This window comes from Homo sapiens, chromosome 15 (assembly GCF_000001405.40).
Source record: "Homo sapiens chromosome 15, GRCh38.p14 Primary Assembly".
NCBI classification, from domain to species: domain Eukaryota; kingdom Metazoa; phylum Chordata; class Mammalia; order Primates; family Hominidae; genus Homo; species Homo sapiens.
Window position 1 is genome coordinate 67,152,056 of NC_000015.10, and position 13,567 is coordinate 67,165,622.

The window sequence follows — 13,567 nt, forward strand, 5'->3', positions numbered from 1 at the left end:
TACAGTGGTTTAGGACACTAGAACTGATTTTTCCTCTTTAGCTGTAATTTTGAGACCTTTAACAAATTTCTCCCCATCCCTCTGTTCCCTTTACACTTTTCAGCCTCTAGTATCTTCTATTCTGTTTTTACAAAGTTAGAGTTTTGGGGCTGATAAATGTTTTTACCTAAATACTCATTTTTGTTTCCACCAAATGGAACATCATGTTGTCGTAGAATGAAGGAATCCTTTCTGTCCTATGGGTTATTTTCTTCTCCCTCAAACTGACAATGCAAATTAATTTGATTCCCCAAAGTAGTTTGGAAACAGAGAAGACTCTAAGTGTTGGCTACATGAACAGGCCTGCTGCCGAGCGAGAGGCCCAGATCACCCAGAATGAGAAGATGGGTCTAAACACACCTGGCTTTGTGACTTACTCCATTTCAAGCTTCCTGTATTGTTGGAGGTCAGCTTTTGGGGGTGAGGGATTTTAATGAAAGCTGAGGTGAAGTCCACTGTTGCCTTAAGCCCATCAGAACGTTGCCAAGGGCTGTGAGTATGCTGAATGGGTCCATGAGTGATCTCTTAAAAAAACATAAACCATTGTCAGGCCTAATTTTCAGCAGAGTGAAATGGCCACCCAGAAGATTCTGTGAAGCCTGGCAACTTTTCCCTTTCTTCCAGTAGTCACAGACCAACCCAGATCTTTGTAGCATCTTTTATTTGTGACTTGAAAGTTCTATGATCCTGCTGACACTCAAGAAAAAGCAATCCCCATCAACTTGGTGCTTGGAGAAAAAAGTTTGTGAAGACCAAAGCTATTAAATAGAAAAGCCCTAAACACTCTCCTCCTCCTCCTCCTTCAATATTTAACCGTCTTCTTTGCATGGGGGAAGGGAGGGGCTCTCACCACAGCCAAAAGAGAATCTCTGCTGATTTAAACCCAGTGTGCTTTGTAGTCATAGAGAACTGAGTTTGGAGTGTAACATCTAGGTTCAAGCCCAGGCACTGTTCCTTGCTGGGTGACTTTGGGCAAGTCACTCAGCATCAAAAATTTTTCATCTGTAAAATGGGAGTGATGAGATACTCAGCCTGCAGGATCCCTTTATCCAGTGAGTTACTGAGTGAGAAGTGCTGGGTAAACGCTTGCTCTGAGGTGTAAATTGCTTCTGTTTGGCCAGGTGCAGTGGCTCACGCCTGTAATCCAAGCACTTTGGGAGGCTGGGGCAGGTGGATCACCTGAGGTCAGGCGTTTGAGACCAGCCTGGCCAATATTGTGAAACCCCGTCTCTACTAAACATGCAAAAATTAGCCAGGCGTGGTGGTGCATGCCTGTAATCCCAGCTACGCAGAAGGCTGAGGCAGGAGAATCACCTGAACTGGAGGTTGCAGTGAGCCAAGATCACTCCGCTGTACTCCAGCCTGGGCAACAAGAGCAAAACTCCGTCTTGGGGGGCGGGCGGGGGGGATTCCTTCTGTTTTCCCGCATCTTGCTCATCTCAGAGCATTTCCTTAGCCCAGGGGGATCTCAAGGGGAGGGAAGAGAGCAGATTTGCCCCCCAGGGGACATTTGGCAATGTTTAGAGGTATTTTTTTTCAGTTGTCACAGCTGCAGGTGGGTCACAGCTACCGGCATCCAGTGTGAGGGAGCCAGACATGCTGTTAAGCATTCTATATCTGTCTCTACACAGGACAGCCCCCTAGCCCCAACAAAGATTAGCCCAAAACATCAGTAGTGCCAACGTTGAGAAACTCTGGGCCTCGCCAAATCCATAGCCTGATGTTGAAAAGTTCTTGGTGTCTGCGTGCTTTACAGATAATTATCATCAGGCTGAACTTTCTCCAGTAACCAACCTTCTTCTTTTCCAGAAAGTACAAATTCTGTGCCCACCCATGGCCCTTGGGAGGTGGGATAGCCCAAGGTCTAGGCGATCTTTGTGTGTTTCCAGTGGAGTCCAGCCCTCCCAAGGATAAGGCAAGGTGTTTCTTGGCTTCCCCCTCCAAGGATCTGCCCAGGAGCCTTCTGCAACCTCTGTGGCTCCTGCCCAGGTTGCCCCATCTGCCTGGGGCACTTGTCATGGACCTGAGCCGGCTGCTCTGGAGAACTAGCAGAGGGAAAGAGAGGACTAAATATAATGGGAAGAAGTGAAGAAGAGGCCAGCTGCTGGTCTGGAGGATGGCATAGGGGGCTGCAGCCTGGCATTTTATTTGGTTTCCCCCTAGACTGGCAGCATTCATGCCCAAAGCACTAGATATTGTCCATTTATAAGTTCAGATGAAAATTGAGTTGTTCTTGGTGGAAATGTTTTAGTGACTGGTATCAAGGGTTATGAAATCCTGTTTTCAGCTCTTCATGTCCAATCTAAACTGGAACATTCAAAAACATGCTTAGCACACTTACAGAACTTGTTGGGAACACTCAGGAAACTCAGCTACAGGCAGAGCACATGGTCACTGTGGTAGAACTTGCAGTGAGACCTCAATTATCTAGAACCTGGCCAACCACATACTTGACCTCACTAGATGTCTTTGTGGCACCAAATGAAAAGAACAGGCTAATGTTGGAAATGGAGTTTAAATAAACAACAACAGTTTTAAAAATCTTTGAAAATGCCAGGGTGTAGTATATTCAGTGTACATCCTGAGTTCTGTTTGTAACTCTTTGATTCCAAGCTTCAGAAAATTACAATTATAGGCTAATTTTTTATACTACTACTAATCGTAATATAATCAAATTATATGTCTTTCAACCAGAGTCAACAACTGCTCAGTCCCTTTTTTTAAAAAAAAATTAAAAACACTTGTCATCTTAAAGACCTTCAGACAACTTAAGATTCAATACAACAAAGAAAAAATTGTCTTGCTGTTCTTAACCTACCAAAGCAGGCAAGTAGACGCACATGTGTTTTACACACGTCATTGGAAGAAGGCTGGCAATACCAGCTTGGTTGCAAGGAAAGAGGCAATTGTGAGGACTCCTTCTCACACTGCAGTAATTTGCTGAGTGACCTTGAACAAGGATCTTAATGCATCAGAGTCTGTTTCCTCAACCCCAAAATGAAGGGATTGGACCAGATGCCCTCAAGGTTCCTCAAGGGTCAGCTGTCACAGTTCTCCAAAGTGAGTTTTCAGGCAGACATAGAGTTAGCCAGTGTCGCCTCACCAGGACATTTTGTTTTCTGAACATTGGGCCTCTGTGGTTTGTCACATACACCCAGGGGACTGGGCTCATAACTCCCTGAAGAACCTCTGCCCAGAACAAAGGATGCTTTGGATTTGACTGTGTGTACCAAAGGGAATAAGTGAACCCCCAAATCAAACATCCCTCTTGGCAGATGGTGTTTTCAGGGCTTTCTTATTTGTTCCTTTATTAAGCAGTTGTCCTGGGGCGGTCCATTGCATGGAAGAAATAAAGGCATGTTCTAATACTTGCGTATTAAAGAGCAGCAGAAAGAGAGCTCTCAGGGTGAGCTTATAGTTCAAAGGCCAAATGGAACCGATGCAAGGAGACTTTCAAGCCACAAGCAGAATTTTTTTCTGCCTTCCCAGAAGGTCCGATGGAATGAGCACTTCACCCAAACTTGAAGTCACTCAAGTCTTGCTTTTATTTTGAACCAGAAAAAAAGAAAAGGAAAACCCACGTAGAATGCAAAATTTAAGTAAAGATTTTTGGGCCAGTCGCGGTGGCTCACGCCTGTAATCCCAGCACTTTGGGAGGCTGAGTTGGGTTGATCACAGGTCAGGAGTTCAAGACCAGCCTGGCCAACACGGTGAAACCCCATCTCTACTAAAAATACAAAAATTTAGCCGGGTGTGGTGGTGCGCACCTATAATCCCAGCTACTCAGGAGGCTGAGGCAGGAGAATCGCTTGAACCCGGGGGCAGAGGTTGCAGTGAGCCAAGATCGTGCCATTGCACTCCAGCTTGGGTGACAAGAGCGAAACTCCATCTCAAAAAAAAAAAAAAATGTAATTGCAGGTGAGTGAACACGGGGATAGTAGGGTAGCTTGATTGCTGTTCAAAGGGAAAGAGATGGGGAGGATATGAAACTCTGAGGGCAGATGGGCATATATCTGCTGCAGCATGTATGTTCTGGGAACATGTGTGTATGTACCAGTGTGGGTTCAGGGCATTCATTGGCAACCCCAAGATCTAAAACAGCTCCTTTTTGTCCATTAAACATAGCAGATGGGAAATGTAAAGATACAGAATAAATGGAGGTGAAATGTATGCCGTAGGTTTGGTTTTTGAGTTATTAATGTGCTACTTGGGGCTACTTCAAAAAATGAATATTAGAGGAGTATTTGGGGGTAAGTTCACATTTTATGCAAATTGACTCTAAGGCCTCTAGGTAGGTTGTCCTTCTGAAATGGTTAAGTCTTATCCAGCTTCAAGATCTGGGCATAGGGGTATGCCCCATTTAGAATTAGGGAAAAGAATCTGAGTCATGCAGCCTAGCTTCACTTTATATTAACTCTGGGAAAAGTTAGGAAAGTTGGGTAACCTCTCAGGTGCTCTGTTTCTCAATCCATGTATGGAGATAATGATACCTGCAAGTTAATTGGGAAAACTGGTGGTGGAGTCAGTGCATCAGTCAGCTAGTGTTGCGTAACAAAGCACTCTAAAAACCCAGCAGCTTAAATCCATTGTTTATGCTCACTCATGCTTCTGTGGTGGCTTACCTGGGCTTGGTTCCTTGCTACAGATTTGGTTTAGGTCTGCTCCACATGTTTTCATTTCTGGGCCCAGCCTATGGGGCAGTAGCTGCCTGGGGGTGGGCGGGTGGGAGAGGGAAGTCCCATGATGATGGCAGAGGTACGAGAGGACAGGCAGAGACATACAATGGCAGTCTGTCCCTTCTGCTCACATTCCACTGGCCAATGCAAGTCAATAGTCTACCCCAAAGTCACGGGACAAGAAAATACATGCCACTCATGGTAGGAGGAGTGGCAGAGCCACAGAGCAAAAAGTGTGGCTGCAGAGAGGGGTGACTAATTCACTCTGTCACAGTCATCAAGTGGCCAACACAGTACCTGGCACATAGCAGCAGTCACTTCCACCTCTGTTGTTACTATTACTACTCAATGGGCAAGTTGAAAAAGAAAGTTTGTCTGAAAGTGACTAGAAAGTTCGGTATTAAGAGCATGTGTGTGTATTCAATAAAATAGGTTTCAACTGAAGTGTGATAATGTTAACAAATTTACTCTTTGTTCACTTCTATGGCCCAGTTAACTGGCACAGTTCTTGGGATATGGTAGGTATTCAATAACTATGCTGTGATTGATGAATGGTCACTTTTAATAATGGTGATGCAGCATGGGATGACAGAAAAAGCGCTGTTCATCCAACCTGCCCCTATCTCCCATGTATCAGCCCTGGTCTGGGTTTGAATCCTGGCTCTGCCATTTACAAGTTATATGACCTTGGGCAAGCCTCCTGAGTTCTCTGAGCTGGGCGAGGGTCCTGGGGGTGTTGCCGTTTCTGCGTGCTCACATAGCAGTCGTGTGCCTGGCACGTAGTTCATGCTGAATGGATCTTGGCATGTTTCTGGAACTTATGTGCTGTGCTCCTCACCTTCTCCCCAGCCTCTGTGTTGTCCCACAGATGGCTGTGAGTGGCTGATCGGTGGAAGTGCAGACGTGAGTAGCACTTGGCATGAGGTGGGCCCCAGCCCCACCCTCTCTCCTTGGGGTACACTCTGGCAGGCTTCACCTTCACCATCGGCTTTGGGCTCTGCCATGGCCACATCCTTGGCTGTGGCTCTCACCACCATTTTGGGACACTTTACGGGTCCCGCTTGAAGCCAATGGGAGGAAACCTAATTTCCTGCCACAGGAAATTGTTCTGCTAGGGAAGAATATATTTAAGGATTAAAACCTTCTGTCAGAGGAACTTGAGGGAGTTGCTAGAGAAAGACCTTTGGGGGTCTCTCATCAGGAAGCCAGTGGGTGTGGGAGAGATCTCAGTCATAAATGGGGAGGAGGCCCAACGGCAGGTTCCTGAGACTGTACTCCTAATGCTAGCAGCTGGTCTTGGGCTGGGAGGAAGGGCTGGGCCAGGGAGAAGAGTGGGTCATAAATAGACCATTTTCTGCAACCAAGTATATTTATGGTAACATCAGCTCAGAATTAAGACTTATTTATTGGATTTACTTAATGGGCCCAGTGCCCTATAAGGCCTGGGAGAGTGTGTTCTGGACACATCAGCTATATTAAATCCAGCAGCTGAAACTCCCAATTCACTCTTATTACTTTGGTAAGGATTGCTACATATTTTGAGTGGGGCAGAGGGAGAAAGAAAGAACAATGCCAGGGCTCTGGGCAGCCCAGACTCCGAACCAAGAGGTGTTGTTGCTGATGCGTAAGAAGTGAATGAGATGTCTTCCCTGTCGTGAGTTTGGGAATTGCATGGCACAGAGAAGCAGGGGCATGGTCCAGATGACTTTTAGAAAATACTGCCAAGCCAGACTGGCGGTCGTGTGCTCACAAGCTGGAGAGTGAGAGGTGCCTGTCTCCTTGCTATCAGAACCCAGCCTGACAGCCAGGAGTCCTGGCCACTTGGCATGGCCCTGATACAGACTGCTGTGTGATCCTGCGACATGCACTTTGCCTCTCCAAGGTATGGGTGTATGGTGAGGTGGGACCATTGTAAGATGTGCCTTATTATCCACACGGCATTGTGGTGAGAATGATCTGAGATAAGGAACACAGAAGCCTTGTGAACATTCAAAGCACCAGACAGACATGAGGACTCACTGTGACCCTCCTGACTGTGCACCCAGATGGCCAAGGCAGGGAAAGAGATGTGTTGTTGAGGACCTACCGTGTTCCTTACTTTGCCGGCCACTATCATAGTAAGCAGGCAGTAATAGTTACATGACAATACTGACAATAGATTCCTGCCACTTTCTGGAATATCTTTCTGGGTAGTGTCTGTTCAAATCATATATCTCTTTTTTTAAAAAAATTGGATTGTTAATACTGAGTGTTCTTACTAATATTTCATTAAAAAAATTTTTTTAATCCCTCTGGGGGAAAAGAATTTTTTTTTTTTTGAGACAGATTCTCACTCTGTCACCCAGGCTGGAGTGCTCTGGTGCAATCACAGCTCACTGCAGCCTCAACCTGCTGGGTTCAAGCAATCCTCCCATCTCAGCCTCCCGAGTTGCTGGGACTATAGGCATGGGTCACCACGCCCAGCTAATTTTTATATTTTTTGTAGAGATGGGGTTTCACCATGTTGGCCAGGCTGGTCTTGAATTCCTGGGATCAAGTGATCCACCTGCCTTGGCTTCTCAAAATGCTGGGATTACAAGTGTGAGCCACCACGTCCAGTCAGTGTTTTAGATGAAAAATATTAAGACCAAGACACTAAGTGATTTTTTTCAACTTTGTACAGTTAGCAAGTACTGAACCATTATTTAAACTGAGGCTTATTAAGTCCATTGCCTTTTTTTGGAATGGTGGTATAATTTATAAATAATAAGCCTTGCATATTTAAAGTGTGCAGTATGACAAATGATGATATATGTATATACCTATGAAACCACCATAGCAGTAAGAGAATATACATAACCTTTACCCCCAAAAAAGTTTCCAAGTGCACCTTGGTAATTGCTCCCTCCAATCCCTACTCCCTCCCTGTAACTCCCTCTGTCCCCAGGCAATGACTGATCCCTGCTTTCTGTCACTAGATTAAGATTAGTGTGCCTTTTACTTTAGTTTAAATTACCTTATAATTTTACACGAACAGAATCATGCCTGGCTTCTTTCACGCAGCATCATTAATTTAGATTCATTCATAGCGTTGCATGTATCAGTAGTTGATCCTTTTTTGTTACTGAGTTGTATTTCTTTGTATGGATATGTTATGGCTCATTCATCTGTTAATACATGTGGAGTAGTTTTCAATTTGGGGCTATTACATTCATGCACAAGTCTTTGGACATAGGCTTTTATTTCTCTTGGGTAAATACTTTGAAGTGGAATGGTGGATCATATGGTAGGCTTATGGTTTTTTAGCTTTTTAAGAAACTTCCAAATGTTTGAGGGATGAATATCCCAATTACCCAGATTTGATCATTACACATTGTATGCTTGTATCAAAATATCGCAAGTACCCTATAAATATGTATAGCTACTGTGTATCCCCCAAAATAAAATATTTTAGAAAGGAACTTCCAAGCTGTTTTCCAAAATAGTTGTACCATTTTACATTTGCACCAGCAGTGGAAGGGAGTTCCAGTTGTTCCACATCCTTGCCAATACATGGCATGATCAGGCTTTTTAATTGTAGCCATTCTAATAAGTATGTAGTCCTATCTCATTGTAGTTTTAATTTGTGCTTCTCTAATGATCAACATTGTCAAGCATCTTTTCATATGCTTGTTGTCTTCATATCTTTCTGGGTAGTGTCTGTTCAAATCATGTATCTCTTTTTTAAAAGATTGAATTGTTGGCTGGGCGCAGTGGCTCACGCCTGTAATCCCAGTACTTTGGGAGGCCGAGGCAGGCGGATCACGAGGTCAGGAGTTCGAGACCATCCTGGTTAACACATGAAACCCCGTCTCTACTAAAAATACGAAAAATTAGCCGGGCGCGGTGCCAGGCGCCTGTAGTCCCAGTTGCTCGGGAGGCTGAGGCAGGAGAATGGCGTGACCCCAGGAGGTGGAGCTTGCAGTAAGCCAAGGTTGTGCCACTGCACTCCAGCCTGGGCGACAGAGCGAGACTCCATCTCAAAAAAAAAAAAAAAAAAAAAAAAAAAAAAAAAAAAAAAAAAGAAGATTGAATTGTTAATATTGAGTTTTCAGAGTTCTAGAAACAGGTCTATTATCAAATATACGCTTTGCAAATATTTTCTCTTAGTTAGTGCTTGCCTTTTTATTCCTTTAACAGTGTCTTTCAAAGACCAGAGGCTTAAATCTTGATGCGGTCTGATTTTTTTTTTATTATTATTAAGTGCTTTTTGGTGTGGTATCTGAGAAATCATTGTCTATCCCAAAAAGTCACAAAGATTTTCTCCTGTTTTCTTCTAGACATTTTAGAGTTTAAGTTTCACTTCAGTTTGTTTTTGTATAGGGTTACAATGTGTAGTTTGAAGATTATCTTTTTTACATATCCAGTTGTTACATCACCATTTGTTGAAGACTGTCCTTGCTCCACTAAATTGTCTTTGGACCTTTGTTGAAGCCAGTCGTCCATATATATGTAACTATTTCTGGACTCTGTTAGGTTCCATTGATCCGTTTGTCAGTCCTTGTGCCATTACCATACTGCCTTGATTATTGTAGCTCCCTTGTTTTTAAAAGTTTAATTAATATCCAAGTGATTCATGTATGATTAATATTACTACTAAGGCAAGAGGGCCACCCACTTCTATCACCTAGATGGAGCTTACCTCCACAGCCCCATTCTCCCCCGCTGCTGGCATGAGCTTTTCTCCAAGGCCTTCTCTTGCAGAGGAGGCTATGATGTCCAGCTGGCCCTTTTTTGGGAGTTTTGTCAAACACCGAAGAGCAAATACGGCCACTTCCCTAATCTGTGGGCACCCAGTGGCTTTGCAGGAGAAGGAGAACAGCTGAATAATTCTCTATTCCCACTCACCACTTCCCACTCTCCCTTTTACTCCTGTTCAACCTCCAGCTCACCCTACTTATCCAGGGCTGGGTTTGGGGAGTATCTGCTGTGATAGAGAATAATAACGCTAATTTGTGGGTGTTTATGAAGCACTTTCAAATGGAAACCAAGCTTCAGGAGGTCGGGGGGCAGAATACCCCATTTTATAGATGAGAAAACTGAGTGTCCTAGGAAGCTCATGAGCTGCCCAGTGTCTCCCAGCTAGGAGAGTAGAACCCTCCTTTACCCCAGGTCTTATGGCTCCACATCCGCCAGTCCTCCTTTTATACCTCAGGGACGAGTCCCAGGCTGTCTTCTCGATCTGCCTGGTAATTACTGTTTTTCAGCTGTAGGGCTTCCTTGTTCTGGGGCCCCAAGGGAGGAAGGTAATTACATCCTTCAAGATGCCCTTAGTCAGCAGCTCCAGGTCAGTTCCTGTGACCAAGCCCAGCTATGACCTTTGTCTGTCCTTTCCCCTTCCCAGGCCAGTGGCTTGGAGAGTGTGATTGGATCCCTCTGTTTCTCTCTTTGGTTGGTGCTGTTGGTGGCATCTGGCCAGCCCTTCCTTCACAGAGTGCCCATGAATTCTCTGTATTCAGGCAAATGGGTGCCCTCGGTCATAAGAAGGCACAGAGGGAAAGCTTGCAAATGTCTCACTGCCAGCCCTGCCAGCTATTAGAAAAATTATGGCACTGACTGGCAGGGTCCTAGGATGGGCCTCCTTGAAGAAAAAGCAGTCCTGCCTCTTAATAGGGTACCTGTGACTCATGAGCATCCATCTCATCTGCTCCCCACTTCTATCCCTGCTACCCGCAATCTGTTGGTCACACGTAGCCAGAGTTCCACAGGGCCTGTCTCTTTCACACGTATGCACAGCCCACTTACACATCTCAGAGGCTACATACTGCTTTTAGAAAACAGGAGAAGCCTTTATCATGGCCTTTGGGGCCCTGCAGAGTACCCCTGCCTGCCTCCCCGGCCTCGTCTCAAGCCAGCTCTCTCTCATGATCCCCTCTCCAGTCCTTCTGGCCTTCATTCTGTTCTTCCGACCTCACCATGTTTTCCACTTTCCACAGGGCCTTTGTGTGTGCCTTTCCCTCTGCTTGTACTGCCCTTCTCCCGCACCCCTTTGCCTGGTTAGTTCTTACTTACCCTTTAGGCCTTCAGGTCAACCATCACCTCCTCTGAGATGCCCTGTCCAGTCCTTCAGCAAAGTGGGGTGCCATGGTCATACACTCTTGGGGTTCCTTGTTATTTTCGTTCAGGACACTTTCATTGTGTGTAATTGTAGGTTTCTGTGATGATGATGATGATGATGATGATGATGATGATGATGATGATTTGAAACGGAGTCTTGCTCTGTCGCCCAGGCTGGAGTGCAGTGGCACAATCTTGGCTCACTGCAACCTCCCCCTCCCAGGTTCAAGTGATTCTCCTGCCTCAGCCTCCTGAGTAGCTGGGATTACAGGCGCCCGCCACCATGCCTGGCTGATTTTTGTACTTTTAGTAGAGACAGGGTTTCACCATGTTGGCCAGGCTGGTTTTGAACTCCTGGCCTCAAGCGATCCACCCGCCTCGGCCTCCCAAAGTGGTTTTGGTGATTATTTGATTAATGCCGGTCTTGCCCAGTGGAATGGAGGGTCCCTGCAGACAGGGACCACTTTGCTGGCCTTTTCTCATAGTGAAGTCTCTTTCCTTACCACTGTATCCTTAGTGTCACACATAATAGGTGCTCATTAAATATGTGTTAAATAAGGGACTCCATTTTAGTGGCACCTCCTCACCTGTCTAATACCAGACACTATCTGAAGTTTTACGTCCCTCCAGAAGCCTTCTGCCTCCCAGCCTTGCCTGTAGCTGACAATGCTTTTGCCGCCCCAAGCTCCCCAGTCCTTTCCTGTAAGCCACCCAGACTCTCATCATCCAGATCACCTGGGGATTTCACAAAGGGAAAGATTCTGATTTAGTAGGTTGGGGTAGGCGCTGAGAATGTACATTTTTAACAAACTTCCCTGAACCTCTGCTGCTGGTCAGGGACCACACTTTGGCCTGGCTTGAGAGGTAAGGGCACCGGGTCATAGCTGCTTGGCCAAATCACCATAGAAGACATGGTTCACACAGGGTCATGGCACTGGCCAATTGTAAGTAGGCACAGTAGTGTGCCCCTGCAGTCCCAGCTACTTGGGAAGCTGAGCTGGGAGGATCACTTGAGCCTGGGAGGCGGAGGTTGCAGTGAGCCGAGATCATGCCACTGCACTCCAGCCTGAGTGACAGAGCAACACCCTGTATCAAAAGTAAAAAAAAAAAAAAAAAAAAAAAAATCCCTTTAATTTCCGTCTTTCACTCCCTGCTCACCACAAATAACTAAAAAAGAAAGGAGGGGCCAGGCACGGTGGTTCACGCCTGAAATCCCAGCACTTTGGGAGGCTGAGGCGGGCAGATCACGAGGTTAGGAGATCGAGACCATCCTGGCTCACACAGTGAAACCACGTCTCTACTAAAAATACAAAAACAAAATTAGCTGGGCGTAGTGGCGGGTGCCTGTGGTCCCAGCTACTCAGGAGGCTGAGGCGGGAGAATGGCATGAACCCGGGAGGCAGAGCTTGCAGTGAGCCGAGATGGCGCCACTACACTCCAGCCTGGGCAACAGAGCGAGACTCCGTCTCAGAAAAAAAAAAAAAAAAAAAAAAAAAAAAAGAGGAGGAAAGGCAAGTTTTCTTTTTTTCCCCTGACTTTCTAATGTGCAAGGGAAGACCTGAGTGAATGAGGGGAGACAGCCTTTGTACTTTGTCACTCTTCTTTGGATCACTGTAGTCCTCATATCTGTGCCTAAAGAACTCTCATTGTCTTCCCCAGCCCTGTCCCCTCTCCACACCTCTGGGCTGAGTAGGAAGCCGATGAGTGGCTCCTGGACCTTTTCCAAGCACAACTGAAGTGACTGAAGTGCGGGCCCTTCCCATGGAATGCCACTCCCTGAAGAGCAGTACAAAGTTGGGGAACCCACCGGGGACTGGTGGGTGAGGCCCGCTCTGCCAGCTGGGAGTCCTCACGGGGCCTTTGTTGTCTTCTCCTGAGATCCCTCCCAGCACTCTCAGCTAGCAGTGCTCTGATCTCCTGGACCTCTGGATCTGGGAGAAATGAGGGGAGAGAGAGCTTTCCAAGTGTCTGAAAGTAGGAGGCCGGACTCTGCAGAAAGCAAGCACAATCCACATTTCCCTCTCTTTCTGCCCCTCCCCGTCCTGGCAGGTCCCTGGATGGCCGGTTGCAGGTGTCCCATCGGAAGGGGCTCCCTCATGTCATCTACTGCCGCCTGTGGCGATGGCCAGACCTGCACAGCCACCACGAGCTACGGGCCATGGAGCTGTGTGAGTTCGCCTTCAATATGAAGAAGGACGAGGTCTGCGTGAATCCCTACCACTACCAGAGAGTAGAGACACCAGGTATGCTGCCTGGCCTGCCTGTGGGGACAGCAGGTGCCAGGGGTCATCACCTCTCCCCGGCTCCCCATCCCCCCGAGGGTCTGCGGTGCACTTGGGGGTGCGGGGACTTTGGTGCTGGTCTGGCATCGACACTGAGCCACCTCTGCTCTGTCTCCCCCGGACAGTTCTACCTCCTGTGTTGGTGCCACGCCACACAGAGATCCCGGCCGAGTTCCCCCCACTGGACGACTACAGCCATTCCATCCCCGAAAACACTAACTTCCCCGCAGGCATCGAGCCCCAGAGCAATATTCCAGGTAGGCACGTGGGCGGCACAGGCTGGCCTGGGAGGCAGGGGCAGCGGTCAGCCCCGACATCAGTCCTGTGGCCCCAATCTCTGCCCCCTGGCCGTCCCCCGCTCACCCCCTCTTTGCGCACAGCTCTGGCCTGAGGGCCCCTGACTCAGAACCGCATCCCTGTTGGGAGAGGACCCATGACCTCAGCTCCCCCCTCACTAGTGATGCTTTTCTTGGCATAGAGGAGCAGCGTGACCCT

At 47.0% G+C, this 13,567-nt stretch overlaps 1 protein-coding gene across 9 annotated transcripts in view, besides 2 other annotated features; it reads left to right on the forward strand.

The window, feature by feature from the left end:
- SMAD3 (SMAD family member 3) overlaps positions 1 to 13,567 on the forward strand; it is a 129,568-nt gene that overhangs the window by 86,454 nt on the left and 29,547 nt on the right. For 7 of the 9 annotated variants that reach the window (NM_001407011.1, NM_005902.4, NM_001407013.1 and 4 more), the window contains exons 2-3: positions 12,840 to 13,033; positions 13,198 to 13,329. In NM_001407011.1, the coding sequence (NP_001393940.1) occupies positions 12,840 to 13,033; positions 13,198 to 13,329 (326 nt within the window). The remainder of the gene's footprint in view (positions 1 to 12,839; positions 13,034 to 13,197; positions 13,330 to 13,567) is intronic. The other 2 variants (NM_001407012.1, NM_001407015.1) reach the window with 1 other exon arrangement.
- Positions 1,223 to 1,392: an enhancer, noted in NCBI's record as "experimental_40599 CRE fragment used in MPRA reporter constructs". NCBI's record gives its function as "activates a minimal promoter by MPRAs in K562 erythroleukemia cells, with activity observed for the non-introgressed 15:67445701 variant allele {active_cell/tissue: K562}" and the evidence as "EXISTENCE:reporter gene assay evidence [ECO:0000049][PMID:34662402]".
- Positions 2,395 to 2,564: an enhancer, noted in NCBI's record as "experimental_40600 CRE fragment used in MPRA reporter constructs". NCBI's record gives its function as "activates a minimal promoter by MPRAs in K562 erythroleukemia cells, with activity observed for both the introgressed and non-introgressed 15:67446873 variant alleles {active_cell/tissue: K562}" and the evidence as "EXISTENCE:reporter gene assay evidence [ECO:0000049][PMID:34662402]".